This window comes from Homo sapiens, chromosome 8 (genome assembly GCF_000001405.40).
Source record: "Homo sapiens chromosome 8, GRCh38.p14 Primary Assembly".
Classification (NCBI taxonomy): domain Eukaryota; kingdom Metazoa; phylum Chordata; class Mammalia; order Primates; family Hominidae; genus Homo; species Homo sapiens.
The window spans coordinates 85,123,357-85,148,189 of NC_000008.11; the positions used below are offsets into that span (position 1 = coordinate 85,123,357).

Sequence of the window (24,833 nt, forward strand, 5' to 3'; positions counted from 1 at the left end):
TTCAATCTTTTTTATACTGAACTTTTAACAAATTTTGTTGGCTTTTTAAATTTTAGACTTCTAATTCAATAGATAACGTTCTTGAGAAAGACCCCAGACCAAAAAGAGACACAGATATAACTTCTGAAAGTGACTATGGAAACAGAAAAGAATGCAATAGAAAAGTTCCTCGAAGATCAAAAATCCCTTATGATGCCAAAACCATTCAAACTATTAAGCACCACAATAAAAACTACAACTCTTTTGTAAGGTACTTGTTTTAGTTTTAGAAATTTAAGGCACACAGAAGTTAATAATGCTGGCTTCTCTCTTGAAGCTATCTCTTGGTGATATTTGTTACTTTACTAATGTTGAAGATTTGATTTTTCAGCCTTGCAGGTTCTGATCTGGTCAGTACATTCATGTAAATGTATATAAAAGGATCCTTTTCTCTGTGTCTGTACCTAAGTTGCAAAATTAATGTATAAACCTGAAGATATCTCATACTATAAAGAATACTGACTTTAGAACTGGAATACCTTAGTTTAATCTAGGTTTAGTTCAATCAAAAACAATGTATGTGGTTTTAGTTTAATTTGAACTAATAACATTAGTTCAAATTCCACTGCATTCATTTACAGTGGGAAATAAGACTAGTACACCTGAGTCTACATGACTAGCCTTTTCTCTCTTTGTAGGCAGATCTAGATGGAAAGTCAAATCCTAGTCAGATGATACTGAGTTTAGGATTAAATGTGAATAAGATGATTGTGTTTAATGCCATAAGGACAAGGGAGACCAATATCTGTACTTTCATAATTGGGATCACCATGACAAGTGGTTCAGAAATGACTACTCTGGGATGGTTACAGTAAACTTTTGCCTCTGTAATTCTCCTTTTGCAAAGCATATTTTGTTGTTTTGTTGTTGATTAATTCTTCCATACCTACCCAATTACATTTTACATGTATATATACCCACACACACAGAGGCATTCAGTTCACTTCAAACACTGTACTTTTTTCCAGGACATACCCTGGAATTTCTTTGGTCCTACCAAGTGATAGAATCTATTAACTTTGATCCATTGTATGTCGATTTTAAACTTTTAACTCTCAAAGAGTAGTTCTATTTACTGTCTTTTCAAGTTCTTGGGTATCATCTTACCACAGTACTTTTTAAATTATTCTGATATATCCAAGAATTCTACCCTACCTGAAAATGTTGAACCCTGAACATTTATGAAATCATTATCTTTTTTAAAATCTTAAGGCACTCATTAATCAACAGAGCACACCCATTATAAAATTTATGAAGCAGTTTGTCCAAGTTACTATAATTTTATTAATATTCTTTTTAAAAAGCTGTTTGCATATACAACTAGAAATGTTAATTTAGAGAAAAGTAATGTGAACACTACTTTTTTGAGTTATTTTCTATGTTTCATTCTTTACAGTTGTAATCGTAAAATGAAACCACCTTACCTTAAAGAATTATATGTAAGCTCATCTTTAGCAAACTGTCCTATGTTACAAGAATCAGAAAAGCCAAAGACTGAAATAATTAAAGTAGACCAAAGTCACTCAGAAGACAACACTTACCAGGTATGATTTAAGAGTTAAAGAAAAAATGAGTATGAATAATTTTAAATACAGAGTCCCAGAAAAATTATGCATGCTTTTATTAGCAAAAAGTGTTTGAATTTTATTGGAGTGATGAAAATGGGTTATTTTTTCCTTCCTGATTTCCAGATTTTATGTAATGTTATTTTTGAACGAATGAAAATTACATTTTTTTATGATCAGATTTAAGTGAAATCATTTGTTACATGCTTCTGGAGGAAGAAACAGTTATGAATTTTTTAATTCTTATTCCTTAAGGTAGTGCTTCCTACTTTTTTTGGGTGTCAGACCCTTTTCAGTATCTAAAAAAATTTACAGGTCTTCTCAAAGAAGCCTATTTTTACACTCAAAAAAATGTATATATTTCAAGGTTTTCATGGACTTTCCTGAAACTCAATTTTGGACCACTGGATCCCAGATTAAGAGGTGTTCAAGGCCGGGCGCGGTGGCTCACGCCTGTAATCCCAGCACTTTGGGAGGCCGAGGCGGGCGGATCACGAGGTCAGGAGATCGAGACCATCCCGGCTAAAATGGTGAAACCCCGTCTCTACTAAAAATACAAAAAATTAGCCGGGCGTAGTGGCGGGCGCCTGTAGTCCCAGCTACTTGGGAGGCTGAGGCAGGAGAATGGCGTGAACCCGGGAGGCGGAGCTTGCAGTGAGCCGAGATCCCGCCACTGCACTCCAGCCTGGGCGACAGAGCGAGACTCCGTCAAAAAAAAAAAAAAAAAAAGAGGTGTTCAAAAATGTTTTAATTCTTTAAAATTTGCTTAACATTTCTCATGTTGAGAAACTTCAGTACTTGTGGTTTCATTATTTTATATTTTTCATTAACTTCCCCTTATATTACTTGTGTATTGTTCTTTCAATAATAGAATTGGTACATTTTAGGCTACTGGTTTCCTCCCCTTATTCTCAACTATAGAGGCTTTAATATTGAAAAATAATAATTATCATTATGACTTTGGACACACTTCATCTTTCTTCTTACTTAACCTATTGTGCCTGTGTTTCCCAAGTTACATATTCATTTTTCTCATGAAAAATCAATCTTTTCTGATTCAACCCCCGCCCCAAGTTTGTTCGAGATTAGATCCTTACCAATCTTTATATTCCCTTGCGTGCCTTGGTAAGGACTCTGTTTCCTTAATACAGAGTCTGGCATGTGGGTGCCATGCTATGAGTATATACTATTTCAAAAAAGGAATCTTATCTACTATGGCATAATAATAGCAGCTAACATTTATTGATTGGTTATTATGTAGCAGGCACTGTTCTGCACTTACCTACATGCTTTGCTACCAGTAACATAATTTTTGGCCCGGCGCAGTGGCTCACACCTGTAATCCCAACACTTTGGGAGGCCGAGGTGGGTGGATCACTTGAGGTCAGGAGTTCGAGACCAGCCTGGCCAACGTGGTGAAACCCCATCTCTACTAAAAATACAAAAAAACAGCCAAGCTTGGTGGCACATGCCTGTAGTCCCATCTACTCGGAAAGCTGAGGCAGAAGAATTGCTGGAATCCAGGAGGTGGAGTTTGCAGTGAGCTGAGATCATGCCACTCCACTCCAGCCTGGGTGGCAGAGTGAGACTCAAAAAAATAAAATAAAAAGTTTCACTGTAGCTCTTTGAAGTAGGTACTATTATTCCCCTGTTATAAATGGGAAAATTGAGGCTGTGAGAAGTTAGGTAACTTTTCTAAGTTCACATAACTTTGTTGTTTTCTTTCAGTCCCTTGTTGAACAGCTAGACCAAGAGAGAGAGAAGAGATGGAGAGCTGAGCAAGCCGAAAATAAACTCATGGATTATATTGATGAGCTGCATAAACATGCAAATGAAAAAGAGGATATTCATAGTCTGGCTCTACTTACCACAGATAGGTAAAAAGAAATTAATAAACCTGAAGATACCTCATAGCATAAACAATACTGACTTTAGAACTGGAATACATTAGTTTCAGTGTGGTTCAATCAACAACAATGTATGTGGTTTTAGTTTGATTTGAACTAATTTTATTAGACAATTTAGCACTTTATTAGCTTGTTATATCAACAAGAAATTCAGGTACATGTATTTGAGCCCTCAAGCAGGAAGGTGTCAGATAAATATTATAAGTAAAGAACAGCAAGAGACTAGAGCAGTGATTAACAAACTTTATGTAAAGTGCCAGATTCTGTAAAGGGCAGGCATTGGCAGCCTTTTTCTTTAAGCTTCATGGGTCATATTTGATCTCATCACATACTTATCTTCTGCAATGGGCTTTTGTATCATATAGCCCAGTTTCTTAATTCTGATGTTTTTATTCTATCCTCACCATTACGTCTCCCATTTTATCTGGGTTTTTTGTTTTGTTTTGTTTTGTTGTATTGCATTCTTTAATACAGGTCTGTCATTTCATTCTGTGAAAATACCAGTTTTTTAAATTACAATAACTTTTTTTCTTCTGTTTCCTGTAATTATTTCTAACGTCATGCTTTTCCTCAAATGATTATAACATGTTTAGAGTTTCTTATGGTTTCTTACCCTTGAATGAGCACTAGGTTTTTAGACTTGACATTTGCTAACACACTTTGGGAAGTTGCTCTTGGTTCCATTTCTTGTCTGATTGTGCAGTGGATAATTCCCCTTCTAAAATCTGATTTGGATAAGTTGATGTACACAGTTCACAGCCCAGTTCCCGATTTCTTTTAGGCACTTTTGTGATACTGACGTGGTGTTTTCTACCCCACTGCATGTTTCTCTGATAGGTTGTACCTGTGGAGTATAAGGACAATTCTAATACGCAACATGCATGCTATGAGAACCTCTATAATTATAAAGCTGTGATGCGTTATGTTATCACTAGCCCTTCTACCACTACCCACCAACTTCCTGCCTTATTTGTGTTTTATAAATGTCTGTCTGAATTGACACAAGAAGCTACTGGGTATGGATGAGGGAACAGGATGTCTCAATTAAGAGTGCTCTGACTACCTCAGAAAAACAGCACTCCTGCTTTCAGTAAGTGCATGAGTAACCAACATTATGTAGTGACAGATTTATAGAGATCTTGTGACTGAGTCATGGACAGATAGTAGAAGAGAAAAGATATGTCTTCCTTTTTTCAGAATGGAGCAGTTTCATGAGGCAAAGCCTGAGTGTTGTAGGAGTTGTTTTTAATTTCAATTTAGTTCCATTTGCCTTGTAATTGAAATTATTCCCAAATTTTGGCATTCTCTTATCCTTTGTTTTCAGTTATATGTGTATGAATTTTTACTTTATTCTGTATTCTAGGTATTTAGTGGGATATTAGAGGACGCTGTGTCTAGGGCTGCTAGCCAAAGTCCATTTAAACTGGAAGACTTTGGGCACACTTTATCTTTCTTCTTACTTAACCTATTGTTGTGCCCGTGTTTCCCAAGTTATGTATTCATTTTTCTCATGAAAAATCAATCTTTTCTGATTCTTCTTTTATCTGTGCCACCCCCCCACCCCCCCCACCACCACATGTTTGTTTGAGATTAGATCCTTACCAATCTCCCTGTTCCCTTATGTGCCTTGGTAGGGACTCTGTATCCCTAATGCAGGGTCTGGCATGTGGGTGCCATGCTGTGAGTATATACAATTTCAAAAAATGAATCTTACCTACTATGGTATCTTTATTATCCAAACCTCCTTGATGACCAGATCTGTTCATCTAATTATCTACTAAAAATGCCTTGCCTGTATTCCTCATAAGTTTCTTAAGATCACCATGGCCTCAGGTGGATTCATTCTTCTTCCTTATTTTATATTTCTTGCCCTAATAAATGGTGCCCCATCCAGCATCCAGTCAGTCACCAAAACTATAGAAATCTAGGAATCTTTGTTTTTTGCTTCCTTTCTCTTTCTCCTATCCCACAACCAGTTGATATTACCATCTTTATTGATACTTTTATTCATCAATTGATATTGATATCATCTTAAAAGATGTTGAACTATCTCCTCTGTATCCCAAAACTGTTACCTTTCTTTAGGCCCTTAACTGTTGCTTAGATGATTGTTCCATTTCTGTTTCTCTGTGGCTTTCCCTGCCCCTACCCATATACAGTCTAGCACGCTTTCATATAGCATATCAAACAGGAGTTGAGAGCATGAACAAAGGAAGACCAGTTCAGAGAGTACTCTCATTGAAGTCAACAATTTTATCATTTTTATATGTGTAATATACTTAACACCACATATAACTTCTGCTTTAGGCTAAAGGAAATTATTTTTAGAGAGAGAAATTCCAAAGGACAACTCGAAGTTATGGTTCACAAACTTCAAAATGAAATTAAAAAACTGACTGTTGAACTAATGAAAGCAAAAGATCAACAAGAGGATCACCTTAAACACTTAAGAACCCTCGAAAAAACATTAGAAAAAATGGAGAGACAAAAAAGGCAGCAGCAGGCAGCACAGGTATTTCTCTATTTTAATATATGAGTAGCACAGATTAACACAAATTCATAGCTTCTATCGTGAAACAAATTATACTACCTAGAAAACCTAAAAGATGTAAGGCCATATGCAAAAATTAAATTGCTGTTAATTTAACGGTCACATAGCCTGTTGAATTATGTCTAAATTAAGACTACTAGCTCTTAACACAAAGCAATTAAAAAGAAAAGTTGATGGAAATGTTGCAGGTGGTTAGGCTTTTATTCTGAGAGAGCTGGCTTTTTAAAAGGCTTTCAGGTGATTGAAGGAATTTCATTTTCATGCTTTCTGAATGGAAATTATCATTAAAATCTGTGATGCAAATAAGCAATAGTTAATGCTAGTGTATTTGTTCCTTCCAAGGCTGCACTTTGTGTGACTGTAACATCATTAATTTATTAAAGTTTGAAAATCAACTTAGTCACCGGACACTGTCATTTAAAAGGTACTTATGGAAACTGACATTAAAATAGCAGGGGAGACTATTATCTAAATAATGTAATTGTGGGTATTTTACTCAGATAAGACTGATCCAAGAGGTGGAACTCAAAGCTTCAGCTGCCGATAGAGAAATATACTTACTTAGAACTTCCCTTCATCGAGAAAGAGAACAAGCGCAACAACTTCATCAACTTCTTGCATTGAAAGAACAGGAACACAGGTAAATGAAAAATGTATCAGGAATGTATTGGCATTTAAAAAAAGAAAAAGAAAGCTACTGGTTCCCCACTACCAGTATTTTTTTTTTTTTTTTTTGAGACGGAGTCTTGCTCTGTCGTCCAGGCTGGAGTGCAATGGCGCAATCTCGGCTCACTGCAAGCTCTGCCTCCCGAGTTCACGCCATTCTCCTGCCTCAGCCTCCCGAGTAGCTGGGACTACAGGCGCCCGCCACCATGCTGGCTAATTTTTTTTTTTTTTGTATTTTTAGTAGAGATGGGGTTTCACCATGTTAACCAGGATGGTCTCGATCTCCTGACCTCATGATCTGCCCCACTCGGCCTCCCAAAGTGCTGAGATTACAGGCATGAGCCACCGCGCCTGGCCCCCACCACCAGTATTTAAAGATAGTGATTGAGCATTGGTGAAGTCTGACAGAATTAGTTAGTGGAAAATGCCGTGTTCATGTATGTATACATTAGAATCAGCCCTATAGCAAGAACTAGTAGCTAAAAAATGAATAGTTGCCTTTGTTATCAGCATTTGAGGTATAGGTTTATAACAATATAGCTTATTGTTCATTTCTTCAAACCCAGCCAAAAGTTGGTCTTTATATAGAGAGAAAATTTTTAATTGACCCCCAAGTTAATTAATTAGTAAATTAATCAGTATTCTTTATTCCTCTGAAGGAGGGGTCAGTGAACTTTTTCTGTAAAGGGTCACATAGAAAATATTTCAGGCTCTGCAGGCCATACCTAACTTTGCCTTTGTAGCACAAAAGTAGCCATAGATAATACATAAATGAACGGCATGGCTGTGTTCCAATAAAAGTGTATTTACAAAGAAAAAGGCAGTAGGTCACATTTGGCTGATGGGCTGTAGTTTCTCAACTCTTGCTCTACAGAATCTGTAATAATTTCAACATTTTCAGTTTATCTATTTCAGTTATCTATTTACTATCCTACCAGTGAAATTGTATGATTATCATATGTTAATTGTATTTATTCCGAAACCTGTTTTGTTTTGTGTCTACATAAATTTTGGTGCTCTGGGGAAAATTGTTATCTTGTATAGATGAGACAATTATAAAAGATTGGGGGAAAATAATCACAAAAATCTAGAATTTTGTACTTTGTTTCCTTTACAGGAATTTTGTACTTAGTTTCCTTTACTTAGTTTCATTCCAGTTTAAAGAAACCAAAAACTGGAAATAATGGGTTTCACATTATGAGTTTGAGTAATGCAAGAAAAGTAGTGGAGAACCGTAAAGAATGAACTAACTGGCCCAATATCAAAAGATTAGTAAATAATTTTACACTTTAACTGACTTTTTCTATTAACAAACCACCAGTGCTAATCAGACTGTATTTATTGCAAGTCAAAGACTCGGCCAAAGTAGTAGATACAGTGAAGCATCTTATGCAAATGCATCTGAAGAATTTCTGAAGCCATAGAATGATTCTGAACTATCTCATGAAGTTAAGATTTGACATACTTCCCTTATCTCCATCACTATTAAATACACAATCAAATAAAACTCATATTATTTGTACCTATCTATGCCCAATTACTGCGTTTGAAAGTGAGAGGCTGATACTGAATTAACAATACTGAATATAGAATATTAAGAACTACGTAAAGACCTTTAAAATGTTTCTTTTCAGGTGAGTATCATCCTTTTATCTTTATATGTTTTTCACTCCAGGAAGGAACTTGAAACAAGGGAGTTTTTTACTGATGCTGACTTCCAGGATGCCTTAGCTAAAGAAATAGCCAAAGAAGAGAAAAAGCATGAGCAAATGATAAAAGAATACCAAGAGAAAATTGACGTGTTAAGCCAGCAGTATATGGATTTAGAAAATGAATTCCGTATTGCTTTAACTGTTGAAGCCAGAAGATTTCAAGATGTAAGAATTGGCACCCAGCTTTTTATTGAAAACAGAATCAGTAAGATATGGTTTGATGAGAGGACTTGTTTTAGAAACATAGCTGTATTAAATGTTGGCTTCATAATCTTAAGTAAAATATATAAATTCTTAGAGGCCTTAGTTTCCTCAAATAAATAATAGCTACTATTTACTGCTCTTGCAAAAACTAAGTAAGATTATAAATGTTATAGAGCACTGGAATAGGAATCTGAGAACCTGAATTCCCTCCTATTACTGTAGAGCAGGGATTGGCAAAACTAAAGCCCCCAGGCCAAATATGGCCCACTGCCTATTTCTCTTTAAAGTAAAGCTTTTTTGGAACAGAGCCATGCTCATTTTTTACATATTATCTATGGCTGCTTTTCCATTACAAAAGCACAGTTGAGTACTTTCTTTTTTTTTTTTTTTTTTTTTTTTTTTTGTTTCAGATAGAGTCTCGCTCTGTTGCCCAGGCTGGAATGGTGCAGTGGCATGATCTTGGCTCACTCCAATTTCTGCCTCCCAGATTCAAGCAGTTCTGCTGTCTCAGCCTCCCAAGTAGCTGGGACTACAGTCACAGGCCACCACGCCCGCCTAATTTTTGTATTTTTAGTAGAGACAGGATTTCATCATGTTGGTCAGGCTGGTCTCGAACTCCTGATCTCAGATGATCCGCCTGCCTCGGCCTCCCAAAGTCCTGGGATTACAGGCGTGAGCCACTGTGCCCAGCCGTAGTTGAGTACTTTCAACAGAGTTCATATGGCCTGGCCTGTATAGCCTAACAGTTTACTGTCTGGTACTTTCTAGAAAAAGTTTGGTAACCCCTGCTATAGAGGAATAATTGTGCTCCTCTGACCAGTCCCACCAAACGTATAGTAGATCCCATTTCCTCTTGCCTACTTAAAGATATGGCTTCAGTAAGTCTTCTTTCTTACTCTCTTACATCTTCAGTTTTTCCGCTATATTGGATCATTCCCTTCAGCATACAAACATGCTGTGATTTCTCTTATCTTAAGAAAACTCTCTTGATTCCATTTCTTCCTTTGACTACTATGTTGTTTCTCTGCTTCCATTTACAACAGAACATATCAAAATTGTGCATTTGCTGTCTTTGATTTCTCTACTTCTCTCTTCTCCAACCTGCTCTCATCTGGCTTTTATCTCTATTGCTCTACTAGCATTGCGCTATCAAAGCCACCAGCAATATCCACACTATGAAAGTTGTGAGTCAAATTTGTCCTCATCTGATTTGACCTAGGTGCAGGATTAGACAGGGTTGATAGCTTTCTCCTCTTCCATACTCTTTCTTTGCTTGGTTTCCAGCACACTGCATTTCTTGGTTTTCTTGGCTTTCCATTACGTCACTTCTTTTCAGTCTCTTTGTTTCTCTTTTGTCCACAGTTTCATTATTGCAGTGCCCAAGTTTTCAGCCCTTAAATTCCTTTTCTTTTCTATACACACTCATTCTCTTGGTAAACTCCTCTAGCATCATTATATCTCCAGCCTGGACGTTTTGCAAGAATTTTAAACTTCTATGTCTAACCACCTATTTAACATATTCTACTTCACTGCTAATTTTACCCCCAAACCTTCTACTTTGACATTTCTCCTGTCCCAGTTAAAGACAACTCCATCCTTCTAGGTGCTTAAGCCAAAAACAAAGTCATTGTTGATTACTCTTTCTGTGACACTACACATTCAGTACCTCAAGAGATTCTGTCACCCTTATTTAAAAAATATACATGTGGCCATTTCTTACCACCTCTAACACAGCCACTCTGGTATGTCACAGTATCTTGTATTATATTAAGAGCTTTCAAGTTAATCTTCCTGCCTCTATCCTTCCCCTACCCCCCTCTGTTTATGCCAAACACAGCAGCTAGAATGTTCTTTTAAAATACATGTTTGGTAATATGACTCCTCTCTTCAAAGACCTCCATTGTCCCTTCATTTTATTCAGAGTAGTGGTCAAAACACTTCACAATCTAACCCTCTGAGTTCATCTCCTACTACCTTCCCCTTCATTTACACCACTCCAGTGACAACAGCCTTCTTCCTATTCCTCCAATGTATCAGGCACATTCCTGCCTAGAACACTCCTTTCCCACACATTTGCATGGCTCCATTCCCTACCTCCTTCCAGTCATTGCTCCATTGTTGCATTCTCAGTGATTATGCCAGTTAAAATTGAACCCACATCTCCCAACACTTCACACACTTCACATCCTTCTAACCTTTTACCCAAGCATATAGTATCATCTAACATGTTGTATAATTTATTATGCTTGTTGTTATATTGTCAGTGCCTGCCACCTAGAATTTAAGCTTTACAAAAGCAAAGATTTTATTCTGTGGTATTCACTGATGCATTTCAGTGCTAGAGCAATATCTGGCCACCCAGGCTGGAGTGCAGTGGTGCTATCTCGGCTCACTGCAGCCTCCTCCTCCCGGGTTCAAGTGATTCTCCTGCCTCAGCCTCCCAAGTAGCTGGGATTTTACAGGTGTGCACCACCACACCCGGCTAATTTTTGTATTTTTAGTAGAGATAGGGTTTTACCATTTTGGCCAGGCTGGTCTCAAACTTCTGACCTCAAGTGATCTGCCCTCCTTGGCCTCCCAAAGTGCTGAGATTACAGGCATCAGCCACCGCGCCCAGCCCAAATAAATGATTTCTGGCTTTAGATTTGTCACTAATTCCCTGGGTCACTTTAGGCAAATATATAATCATCATCCTGGATCTCTGTTTCATCATCTGGAAATTACTAGATTGAAACAGATTATCTTTAAATCTTATTCTTTTGCTAAAACTGTGATACTATTTCCAGAAGCAAATATTTTCTAATTATTTGGAGAACTGCTATTTATAATACAATTTTGGAATATAGGTTAAAGATGGTTTTGAAAATGTTGCAACTGAGTTAGCAAAGAGCAAACATGCTCTTATTTGGGCTCAACGAAAAGAAAATGAGTCTTCCTCTTTAATTAAAGATCTGACCTGTATGGTAAAGGAACAAAAAACAAAACTGGCAGAAGTTTCTAAATTGAAACAAGAAACAGCAGCAAATTTACAGGTAAGACTTTGCAACATTATATGTTTTAAAATTTTTTTACATTATTTTCTCAAGTGGGTTGTGATAAATTTAGGAAGTACACGAAAGGAACTTTTAAATGATACTAATTATATATTGCATATAAGAAAAATAGTATAACTAAAGAAATTAAGCTCATGATTTCACAAATTGTATTGCTCATGAGATAGCAATTAGGTAAAATAAGTAAATTAGTTTTAAGAAACATGTTCAATTAAATAGGTGCCAGTAGTATAGTGATACAACAAAAATTGTGGAAGTGATACTCAAATGGTTAAAGTTTGGGAAGCACCACTTGGATTGCTGGTATTAATTTTGTGGTGGTGATGCTGGTGGTTTTAGATATACTTAGATGTAATAATCATTAAATTAATGTCTTTATTGCTGTTGTCTCAATTTTAAACATTAATGCTATTTTACCCAAAATTTGTTTCTGGAAAATGACCTTTAACACTATTGATATAAATGCTCGTGAAAAATTTTGAGTATTACAGGTATAGTTTCTCTTTAACAATTTTAGAATAAAATTCAGATTGTTTAAAGGAGTGGTATCTTAAATTCGACTGTTTATTTCATGACCTACATTTGTCTTTAGTAAAACTAAAACTTCTGATGTAAAATTTGGTAATATTTACTTGTATTTGCTTAAATAACATTTTTTCTCATTATAAGATGGAAAAAATAGAAAATAAAGCACTTAATATAATAATTCTTATTTTTTTTTTTGGGAATATACAGAATCAAATCAACACCCTTGAAATTTTAATTGAAGATGACAAGCAGAAGAGTATTCAAATAGAACTTCTCAAGCACGAAAAAGTCCAGCTTATTTCTGAGCTAGCAGCCAAGGAATCACTAATATTTGGTTTAAGGACAGAAAGAAAAGTATGGGGACATGAGCTGGCACAACAAGGTAAAATTCTCAGATTTTCAAAGGGAAAATAGCTTATTCTTATAAATGAGCAAATCTGGGTATTGGAGAGAAAAAGACTCAACTCTGCCTAAAGATGCCAAGAAAAAAGGTGACCCTTTATCTGGAAGGATAAGTAGGCATTTGCCAGCTACAGGGGAATGAAGACCTCTTAGGAAATGAGAAATAGTTTATTACACCAATGAAGAAGTTATGGCTCTGGTTTTTTAAATTTTGTTTCCCATGATAATTTGACTACTATTCTGAACCATGGGTGCTTTTACAAATCAGCATCTGAATATATTGTTAAAAATAATTCTTTTTTTTTTTTGAGACAGAGTTTTGCTCTCGTTGCCCAGGCTGGAGTGCAGTAGCGCAGTCTCGGCTTACTGCAACCTCTGCCTTCTGGGTTCAAGTGATTCTCCTGCCTCAGCCTCCCGAGTAGCTGGGATTACAGCCATGTGCCGCCACACCTGGCTAATTTTTGTATTTTTAGTATAGACGGGGTTTAACCATGTTGGCCAGGCTGGTCTCAAACTCCTGACCTCAGGTGATCCGCCCACCTTGGCCTCCCAAAGTGCTGGGATTACAGGCGTGACCCACCGTACCCGGCCAAAAGTAATTCTTATACAGTGATTTTAAGTTATTTGTACAGTATACACATTTAATTTTCTTTTCTGATATATGCAACATTTATTGTGCATGCACAAATTAAAATATTATATAAATGAAAACTATTTTTTAGTAAATCCTCAGTTTCATTCCCTTTCCAATCATTGTAAAGCAAGAGATATATACTGGTTTCTTTTGTTTTGTTTTGTTTTGTTTGCATTCACAGATACCTTTAAAATTATGAATAGCTAGATATTTGGTCTTTTTCTTTTGAGACAAGTCTCACTCTGTTGCCCAGGCTGAAGTGCAGTGGTGTGATCTCGGCTCACTACAACTCCACCTCCCGGGTTCAAGCAATTCTCCTGCCTCATCCTCCCCAATAGCTGGGATTACAGGCATGAGCCACTATGCCCGGCTAATTTTTTTGTATTTTTAGTAGAGACAGGGTTTCACCATGTTGGCCAGGCTGGTTTCAAACTCCTGACCTCAAGTGATCTGCCCACCTCAGCTTCCTAAAGTGCTAGGATTACAGGAGTGAGCAGCTGCACCCAGCCAAGATATTTGGTCTTAATGGAGCATTCCTTATTTGTTCATTCTCTGTAGGAATTTTTAATATGCTCTTGTTTGTTTGAATGTCATAACATGAATTAATATTACATATCTGAGTTACTTGTTCTCAACTTTATTTGTGGTTTCAGGTTTTGAAATAACCACAAGTGTTTAAGAGGCCTTTTTGTTTGCTTCCCCTTTCCTCTTCATATTGTACTATTATAAGCTATGTTTCTTTATTTAGTTTTTTTATTATTATTATATTACAGTTTGTTAGAGTTTAATAAGATACAAACCCCCAAGGTGTTTCAAAGTATGTAATTGATGATTTTTGTTTCTTAGGATCTTCTCTAGCCCAAAATCGTGGAAAATTGGAGGCTCAAATTGAGAGTTTATCTAGAGAGAATGAATGTCTGCGAAAGACAAATGAAAGTGATAGTGATGCATTAAGAATAAAGTGCAAAATCATAGACGACCAAACTGAAACTATTAGAAAATTAAAAGATGTAAGTTTGACATTTTATTTTGGTTAAAGAGCAAATGGCAGGTTTGCAAATCTTTGGATCAAAGTATCCAAAAGCTGTTTTTCAGTGTTTTCCAACTGTTGTAAAATTTGGGGTAGATATCATGCATTTCTTTTTATAATATTTGCCCTTTTGCTCTTAAAAAGTTCTACATGATATTTATTAATTTGGAATGAACTTTATACTTCAGAATTTAATGGAGAATCTTATTATGGCCTTTGGAATAACTGGAAATACCCAATGTCAATTAAGGGTTAGGAGTCACAAGAAAATGAACATTTTATATGTTTAAAATATTATTTTAAAGGATAAATTAAACCATATCTAATTAACCAGAATATGAAGCATTTAAAGTTAATAAAAACAAAGTGCCAATTTTTTTCTTAAAGTGTTTACAAGAAAAAGATGAACACATCAAAAGATTACAAGAAAAGATCACAGAAATAGAAAAATGCACTCAAGAACAACTTGATGAAAAATCTTCACAACTGGATGAGGTACTTGAGAAGTTGGAAAGGCACAATGAAAGAAAAGAAAAACTAAAACAACAGTTGAAAGGAAAGGAAGTAGAACTTGAAGAAATCAGAAAAGCTTACAGGTATTATATAGTACAGTATTTCCCACTGAGAAATAAAATGTGGCTTAATAATTTAATAAACCCAATTTATTTTTCAAATTACTTCTCATATTAGTACACTGAATCGGAAGTGGCATGATAAAGGAGAACTTCTATGTCATCTTGAAACACAAGTAAAAGAAGTGAAAGAAAAATTTGAAAACAAGGAAAAGAAACTTAAAGCGGAAAGAGACAAAAGTATTGAACTACAAAAGTAAGCATTAGGTTCTAAAGGATTTGAGATCTCCTTAATCGTAAACACTGTGGAATGGGTGAAATACGTATAAAGAGAGGAGGGCTAAAAATCATGTAAGACATAGTTATTTGCCAAGAAGTTTATTTCCATTTCATCTGTAAAATGAAGATAGCAGTAGCACCTACCTTAAATGTTAGATAAGAGGTTGACATTTGATATATATGTGTGTATTTATGAATAGATGTGGCTTATATGAATTATCTAGTTCTTAGAACAGTGCCTGACACATAAGAATTGCTATATGAGGCTGCACACGGTGGCTCACGCCTGCAATCCCAGCGCTTTGGGAGGCCGAGGTGGGTGGATCACCTGAGATTAGGAGTTCAAGACTAGCCTGGCCAACACGATGAAACCCCATCTCTACTAAAAATAGAAAAAATTAGCCAGGCGTGGTGGCAAGCGCCTGTAATCCCAGCTACTCAGGAGGCTGAGGCCAGAGAATCACTTGAAGCCAGGAGGCGGAGGTTGCAGTGAGCTGAGATCACACCATTGCACTCCAGCCTGGGCAACAAGAGCGAAACTTTGTCTCAAAAAGAAAAAAAAAAGAATTGCTATATGAACATTTTGTTTTTATTACGATGAGCATTTTAAACTGTGTTTGAATGAAAGCAGCTAGTGATATTTTAGTTGTTGAAAGTGGAATTTAGAGGAGACTGCCAGTTGACTACCAGGGTCAATGAGCTCCTGAGGAGGCTGGAGCACATTTAGATAGCAGTTGCCAGCACAAGCTGAGGATGAGAGCCAATTTTTTTGTTTGTTTTTCCGAGACTGAGTTTCATTCTTATTGCCCAGGCTGGAGTGCAATGGCACGATCTGGGCTCACTGCAACTTCCACCTCCTGGGTTCAAGCGATTCTCCTGCCTCAGCCTCCCGAGTAGCTGGGATTACAGGCATGCACCACAACGCCCAGCTAATTTTTTGTATTTTTAGTAGAGACTGAGTTTCACCATGTTGGCCAGTCTGGTCTCGAACTCCTGACCTCAGGTGATCCACCCGCCTCGGCCTGCCAAAGTGCTGGGATTACAGGGGTGAGCCACCACGCCCGGCCGAGAGCCGATTTTAAAGAGAGGAAATAAAATGTGTACCTGGCTGCCACTGTTCTGTGGGTTCCATAAAATGCTCAAGAGGAAATAAGGTTTTACTGTGTTAAAAAATATAACTAGACTTGTTAAAAATAAGTTATAAAGTTGGAACCTTCAGAATTAAGTAGCACAGCTTAATGATTAATTCTCGTGTGAAGATAGAGTGATACAGATAACATGGCTATCTATGGATAGCCCAAAAATCTCACTTAAAGATAGGTTCTAATTATGTCAAATCTAATGTAACCTGGAATTTGATTTCTTGTTTTGACTCAGTCTAATGGGAAAGTGTTGTTACACTGCAGAAAGTTTTGGTTGATAGCACAGTTGTTTTCTGTTGATAGATTCTGTTCCACTTTGCTTTCAACCAAGTACTAATACAAGAACTTTGGCTTGGAATCTGTTGCAATTTTTTATCCTGCCAGTAACAAATTTACAATTAGGAGTCTTTGAGATTCTAAAAGAAAGTCATATTCTATAATTAGCCAAAAAAAACTAATAAAAATTATAAAACCTAACAATCTTCAGACTTTTCCATTGCATTATTCATTATACCGTTAATATAAAAATGCAGACCTGATTTTATACATGAATTGTCTTTATGACTAAGACTGGTATACTTTTTAATTTAAGGGAATTGTAATAAAATAAGCCAATTATTATAAATAATAACAGGTTTTACTTGTATAGCTTTTTAAAATTTATAGGTTGATTTCTTCTATCTTATTTTGAACCCAACAGTAATCCTGTAAGGTTGGCAGAACAGTCCTGTTTTATAGTTGAAAAACTCAGCTTGTGACTTGCCACTAGTCACTTGGCTACTAAGTCATACAATTTTAAAAAGGCTTTTGATGCATGTTCCTTATGTTTAATCTGTTATTACTGATTGCTGTACTAAAACCAGAAAATGTGCTCTTTTTATGAATGTTACTTTTTAAATAGTATTATTTGTATTTATATAAAGGAATTGTTTTACCTCCAGGATACTTTTAGTATGAAAATTTTGTGAATACCATTTAATGTGTTTCGTCCACTAAGCATTACCATAAGGAAGTCAAAAATACATATTCATAAACTTAAACCATCTGTAGTATGCACTTCTCAAATTATCACATTGAAAACATGGAGAAAAAAGATTGGTAGTAGTCATCATCTGTGAAGGTGCTTATAAACTATACCCTTAAGCCAAATGGTGGCTCACCTCTGTAATCCCAGTACTTTGGGAGGCCGAGGCGGGCAGATCACTTTAGACCAGGAGTTCAAGACCAGCCTATCCAACGTAGTGAAACCCTGTCTCTACTAAAAATACAGAAAATTAGCTGGGCCATGGTGGTGCACATCCTGTAATCTTAGTTACTTGGGAGGCTGAAGCATGAGAATCACTTGAACCTGGGAGCCAGAGGTTGCCTTGAGCCATGATCATGCCACTGCACTCCAGCCTGAGTGACACAGCCAGACCCTGTCTCAAAAATAAAATAAAAAACTATACTCCTAGACTCAAAATAAATGGGGAAACAGAGTACTCTAACTTTCAGAAAATGAAAGTGTAAAAAACATTAGTGATATATTATCCTAACCTAATGTTATCCTAATAGATTCTGCTGGATGATGAACTACTTACTTATATCTTTAGTTACCCTATAATAGCCTTTGATATTTTCATAATACTGAGTTATGTTTCCATTAGTATGAATGTGAGCCACCCGAGAAGAAATAACATCCTAATCTTTACATTCACACCACATATACACATATATATGTGGATGTTCTTGTTTTTTTAAGGAATGCAATGGAAAAACTTCATAGTATGGATGATGCCTTTAAAAGACAAGTTGATGCAATTGTTGAAGCTCATCAAGCTGAAATAGCACAGCTGGCCAATGAAAAGCAGAAGTGTATTGATTCTGCAAATTTAAAGGTATTGTAAGTAAAATTCACTTCAATAATCAGTATATTACATGATTATAGCTAAATAAATTAGATCTTCGAGAATTATAAAGAGAAAAGGCAACATGATCTCATGACCAAATAGATATAAAGAATGTTACCAAAACTATCCTAAAACCAGGGTAAAACGTTGGTAATACTTAGATTAATTGTAGAACATAATTCTAATTTCTAAGCAAAACTTGTACATTTGATTCTAGTGTGTACTTTCTCTGCTCTCTGGATAAAAATTTCATATCTAACTAATCTTGGATAGGAGTCTCTTTGGTTACACATAGGCAGGGTGAGAATCTGAAGGTATTAAACATAATCCATCACCACCTTGGAAAAAGTTATCAGAGTATTAGGGTTCAAGACTATCAACTTTATTATCTCAATATTATTAATAAAGTAATGAGTTTAGAGTAATGCTAAATCAGAGGGAAACATCAGAAGCACCTATGAAGCTTTTTAATAATACACATTCAGGCCGGGCGCAGTGGCTCACGCAAGTAATCCCAGCACTTTGGGAGGCCAAGGCGGGTGGATCATGAGGTTAGGAGATCAAGACCACCCTGGCCAACATGGTGAAACCCCTTCTCTACTAAAAATACAAAAATTAGCTGGGCGTGGTGGTGAGCACCTGTAATTCCAGCTACTCGGGAGGCTGAGGTAGGAGAATGGCTTGAACCCGGAGGTGGAGGTTGCAGTGAGCCGAGATTGCGCCACTGCACTCCAGCCTAGTGACAAAGCAAGATTCTGTCTCAAAGAAAAAAAACACCATATTCATGAACTTCCCCTCAGAGACTCATTCACTAAGTCTGGAGTCAGACTCAGGTATTTTTTTAATTCCACAGGTGATTCTTATGTGACCTCTCTGGTGAGATAATATGAATTTCCATTTTTTCCTGCTTCTGAAGTGGTAATAAGAAACTAAGGTATCTGTAAAACTAGAGATGCAGAAATCAGCAACTATAAAAGAGTTCACCAACAGAAAGGCAAAGTAATGCTCCATATAGAAATTATATGGCTGGGCACAGTGGCTCAAGCCTGTAATCCCAGCGGAGGCCGAGGCTGGTGGATCAGTTGAGCTAAGGAATTCAAGACCAGCCTGGCCAACAAGGTGAAACCCCATCTCCACTAAAAATACAAAAATTAGCTGGGTGTGGTGGCGCATGCCTGTAGTCACAGCTATTTGGGAGGCTGAGGTCACAGGATCACTTGAGCCCTGGAGGCAGAGGTTTCAGTGCACCAAGATTGTGTCACGTTGCACTCTAGCCTGGACTACGGAGCGAGACCCTGTCTCAAAAAAAAAAAAAAAAGAAAAGAAAAGAAAAATTATAATCAAGGTTGTGTGTTTAAATGACATTATCCTCAGGACTCTGTGCAAAGAAAAAGAGGGAGTGAGGTCTTTGGAAATAATCACAATGAGTAAGAATATAACTTGTCCAAAATTCAGTGTTTTGTTTCAGGTGAACAGATGTTCCAAATATTTTACTTAAAAACTACCAAATGCAGGCTGGGTGCAGTGTCTCATGCCTGTAAGCCCAGCACTTTGGGAGGCTGAGGCGGCTGGATCACCTGAGGTTGGGAGTTCGAGACTAGCCTGACCAACATGGAGAAACCTCATCTCTACTAAAAATACAATTAGCTGGGCATGGTGGCACATGCCTGTAATCCAGCTACTTGGGAGGCTAAGGCAGGAGAATTGCTTGAACCCAGGAGGCAGAATTGGTGGTGAGCTGAGATCACACCATTGCACTCCAGCCTGGGCAACAAGAGTGAAACTCTGTCTCAAAAAAAAAAAAGGCTACCAAATTTAGGCTGGGCATGGAGGCTTACACCTGTAATCCCAACACTTATTAGGAGGTTGAGGTTGAGGTGGAAGGATCACTCAAGACCAGGAGTTCAAGACCAGCCTGGGCAACATAGCAAGACCTTGTCGCTACAAAAAAATGTGTTAATTAGCCTGGCATGGTGGTACACGCCTGTAGACCTGTCTCCTCAGGAGGCTGAGATGGGAGGATTGCTTGAACCCAGGAGTTCGGGACTATGGTGAGCTGTGATCATACCACTGCACTGCAGCCTGGGTGACAACAATATCCTATCTCAAAATTTTAAAAACCTACCAAGTGTTTAACAAGGGTACATCAGGTAATACTAAATAAGGTTTAAACCTTAAATAAGGTTACAGGTAATACTAAATAAGTTAATAGTAATGTTTAAGTATTAACCTTAATACTAAATAAGTTTAAGGTTTAAACACTTAAGGGAAGTGTTTGAAGTAATATCAAAGGAAAGAGTTTTAGAAATAGCACTAGAGCTTAAATATGATAATTAGGTTTGCAGGCAGGGGATTATGAGGTATCACATAATAGTGATTATTTAAATTGGGAGAAATATTAGTTTTCTAAGGGAAAAGAGATTGAGAGATCTATATTAGGGTTTAGGAAGCATGAAGTAAACAGAAAAATGGTCATATTGGTAACATTATCAGAAGTGTTACGATATCGTAGGAAAGACAATTTCAATTAGAAGTTAACAATATCAACTACAGCAACTCCTAGGAGAATGTAGGTTAGGAATAAATGATAAAATGATCTCTCAAAAAGATGGTAATATATAACCACCAACAGTGTTTTTAGAAAAGCTGTAGGCACTACATTAAAGATAGGGTTTCTTTGGGGAGGGAGGTTATTTCAGTTTTAAAAATCTATAAGGAACTGGTGTTTAAGCTGAACTTGTGACTCAGCATTGATAAGCAGTATAGGACTGTAGACAGATTAACCAAAAGCATGGGATTCTCTGTCCTAGCTATGATATATAGAAACTGTACAACTATAAACAGATTTTCTAAGCTCTAAAATAGAGTTAAAATGTGTGTGTGTGTGTGTGTGTGTGTATGTGTGTGTGTGTGTGTATATATATATATATATATATATATATATATTTTTTTTTTTTTTGAGATGGAGTTTCACTCTTGTTCTGGCTGGAGTGCAATGGCACTATCTTGCCTTACTGCAACCTCCACCTCCTGGGTTCAAGTGACTCCTCCCTCAGCTTCCTGAGTAGCTGGGTACAGTTGTGTACCACCACACCTGGCTAATTTTGTATTTTTAGCAAAGGCAGGGTTTCTCCATGTTGGCCAGGCTGGTCTTAAACTCCTGACCTCAAGTGATCTGCCCACTTCGGCCTCCCAAAGTGCTGGGATTACAGGTGTGAGCCACCACACCCGGCCAAGTTAAAATATATTGCCATGTCTTGGCCAGGCGTAGTGGCTCACACCTGTAATCCCAGCACTTTGGGAGGCCGAGGTGGGCGGATCATGAGGTCAGGAGATCGAGACCATCCTGGCTAACACAGTGAAACCCCATCTCTACTAAAAATAAAAAAAAAATAAAAAAGTTAGCCGGGCATGGTAGCGGGCACCTGTAGTCCCAACTGCTTGGGAGGCTGAGGCAGGAGAATAGCGTGAACCCAGGAGGCGGAGCTTGCAGTGAGCTGAGATCGCACCACTGCACTCCAGCCTGGGCGACAGAGCAAGACTCCATCTCAAAAAATAAATAAATAAATGCATATAAATATATGTGTGTATATATATATATATATAGCCATGTCTTTTTCACAAGTTTATGAAAACTAAGTAGATAATATATTAATGCATGAAAGTACTTTGTATACTGTATAAATACTGTATTTTTCCTATTAGCATTTGAGCAAGTTACATTTTACTGACATTTCTTTAAATACATCACAAATTTCAAAATGTGTAAGAATAAATTTTGGACCTTTTCTTTCAGAATGCATTTTAAAAATACATTTTCTTTAAGAAATTAAAATGTAAAATTTACATGTCGATTTAGGTCCATCAAATTGAAAAAGAAATGCGTGAACTTTTGGAAGAAACATGCAAGAACAAAAAAACAATGGAAGCAAAAATTAAGCAACTTGCTTTTGCTTTAAATGAAATTCAGCAAGATATGTGATGGTTCTGAGAATGAATTTAATTGAAATAGACCAGCAGACCTATTGTAAAAATGATTAAATATTGTAATAGTAGTAACTGCTATGACTTTGAAATGTCTCTTTCTATACATTTCATTATGAATATATTTTTAAAGACTTTTGATCAAGTATTTATTAATTGTATAGGTTTTTTATAATAAATTGTTGACAATTTTGTCTATTAGAAAAAACTATCATAACTAGACTTACAATATTTTTCTTGTTTCTGTACTATACATTGTTTGGTAATTACACATTTGCCTACAAATTTGTGAATGAAAAGATTAGTATTTTCACCATATGAGGTAAAACATTTTAATCATTGTTATCTTATTGTGATGATGAAGAACTAATTATATTTGTTATTTAATTGATGTAGCTCAATTCTTTTAAAGTACTTATGTAGCCAAAAAGCATTTGAAATCTGTATGATAAAAGATGTGGCATTCTTAAGAAAGTATATGTAGCCATCTCCACATCACTCATTATGACCCCTTCTTTTATAATGCTTATATCTTTTCATTAAAGATTACATTTAAGGTTTTATAAATATTGTCTGTTCCTGAAGAGGAACACCACTGTTCCACCTTCATTCTCCCTTCTAATAACTGTATATGAAGAAATTCTGATAATGTAACTGGAAGCAGTAATTCATTTCATTCCATACCAGGTCATTACTGTATTACTGTTTCACTTTTGTCACATCATATGCTAGTATGCAGAACAAAAGTCTTAAGTACTATGCCCCTCTTCTATTTCTGAAAGGAAGAAAATATATATTTTCTTGATATCAGTACTGAACTAAGATTTTAAAAGTAAATAGAACAAAAATAATTTAAGTGCTTCATAAAGAGAAGGCCCCATTTCATTATAGATAATCTTTGTGTTGAAATTTGTGAGACAACATCAAACATAACAACATGTATAATGGGAGTCTTAGAAGGGGGGTAAATATTTGGAGAAGTAATGGCTGAAAACTCCCTCAATTTGATTTAAAATACCCTACATGGCTGGGTGCAGTGGCTTATGCCTGTAATTCCAGCACTTTGGAAGACTGAGCCAGGAGAACTGTTTGAGCCCAGGAGTTAAAACACTAGCCTGGGCAACATAGTGAGCCCTGTCTCTTAAAGCACAAACAAATTAAAAGAACTACAAATACAAGGTTTCAGTAAAGCCTGGGGTAAACATAGAATGACATCTAGACATGTTTTATAGTGAAACTGTTAGGGAAGCTCTTGAAAGGAGCAAGAAAATATTCTCATATAGAGGAACAACAGGTTAACAGCTGACTCATCAGAAACAATGGAGGCCAGAAGGCAGTGGCAATATATTTGACATGCTGAAAGAAAAGGAACTGTCAATCTAGAATTCTACATCTAGCAAAACTGTTCTTCAAAGTAAATGCAAAATAAAGACATTTTCAGATTAATAAAGACCAAGAAAGTGTATTGATAGCCAGCCTGCCTTAAAGCTGAAGAAAACCTAAAGGCTTCAAAGAAATGATACCAGAAAGTGACTCAAATCCATTGAAAGAAATTAGTATTATAAAAAGTAAAATTTGTGGATAAATTTTTACATAAAAGACTAAATGTATTTTTCTTCTTTTAGCTAGAAGACACAAAGAAATAATAACTATTGTTGAATTTATAAAATATGTAACATGACAAAAATGGCATAAAGTTGGGGGAAGAAAATAGAGCTATATTTTAGAAAAGTTTACCAGATGAAATTAGTATTAAAGATGGCTGCATTAAATTAAAATGCATATTGTCATCACTAGAACAGCCACTAAGAAAATAATACAGCTTAAAAATGAACACTGGAGATTCCACTTCTGGAATAACTAAATAAGGACCTCTGCAGATCTGTTTCCCATCAAAACAACCATAACTGGTGAAAAGTACTTTAAAACAGCCATTTAAAATCACTGAGAATTGTCCTTAGGGTATACAGCAAAAGAAGAAACATTTATTCAAGAAAAATTTAAATTCAGTAAGAATGGCAAAAACCTGTGGCACTGAACCAAGATTATCTCTCACCCTCAGCTCAGCCTGATGGCAGCTCCACACTAGGTGGAGCTCCTGGCAAAGAAGATAAGATTTCCTCTCCACTAACAGTCAAATACGATATTTCACCAGCTGGGCAGGCTGTGAGCATTCCTTGTGTCTTTCAAAAAAGTTACAACAAAGGCTAAATTCCTGGTACACATAACAAAACTGTAGCGGGCTCTCTTCCTTCCTTCCATGCATAGGGCAGGCCAAGAGTACCAGAAGCCCAATTACCCTTTCCCCAACTCATAAGGTAAAGATATTTTATAATGGTAAAATGGTAATCCATCGGGAAGTTATAATCAGTGATACCTAACAAAAGAGCCCCAATATATATGAAGCAAAAACACACTTTAATGGAGAAATTGGTTATTAAACAATAATAGAGACAAGTACTCCACTTTCAATCATGGATAGAACAACTAAGCAGAAGATCGAGAAAATAAAAGATGTCAACACTATAAACCAACTAAGCCTAGCAGACATCTATACAACATTCTACTCAACAGCAGAATACTGCTACATCTGTCTCAAAAGCACATAGAACATTCTGCAGGATAGATAACATGCTAGGCCATGAAATGAACCTCTGTAAATTTTAAAGCATTGTG

At 36.4% G+C, this 24,833-nt stretch overlaps 1 protein-coding gene across 15 annotated transcripts in view; it reads left to right on the forward strand.

Annotated features, from left to right (window-relative positions):
* Positions 1-22,724, forward strand: part of LRRCC1 (leucine rich repeat and coiled-coil centrosomal protein 1) — a 38,843-nt gene extending 16,119 nt beyond the window's left edge. For 6 of the 15 annotated variants that reach the window (NM_001349637.2, XM_017013920.2, NM_033402.5 and 3 more), the window contains 13 exons: positions 57-250; positions 1,436-1,583; positions 3,333-3,481; positions 5,819-6,023; positions 6,563-6,702; positions 8,404-8,605; positions 11,491-11,676; positions 12,433-12,607; positions 14,108-14,271; positions 14,679-14,887; positions 14,982-15,119; positions 18,026-18,161; positions 22,033-22,724. In NM_001349637.2, the coding sequence (NP_001336566.1) occupies positions 57-250; positions 1,436-1,583; positions 3,333-3,481; positions 5,819-6,023; positions 6,563-6,702; positions 8,404-8,605; positions 11,491-11,676; positions 12,433-12,607; positions 14,108-14,271; positions 14,679-14,887; positions 14,982-15,119; positions 18,026-18,161; positions 22,033-22,155 (2,169 nt within the window). In that variant the 3' untranslated portion in view covers positions 22,156-22,724. Of the gene's footprint in view, positions 1-56; positions 251-1,435; positions 1,584-3,332; positions 3,482-5,818; positions 6,024-6,562; positions 6,703-8,403; positions 8,646-11,490; positions 11,677-12,432; positions 12,608-14,107; positions 14,272-14,678; positions 14,888-14,981; positions 15,120-18,025; positions 18,162-22,032 lie in introns of those variants that run through there. The other 9 variants (XM_017013921.2, XM_047422364.1, XM_047422367.1 and 6 more) reach the window with 4 other exon arrangements.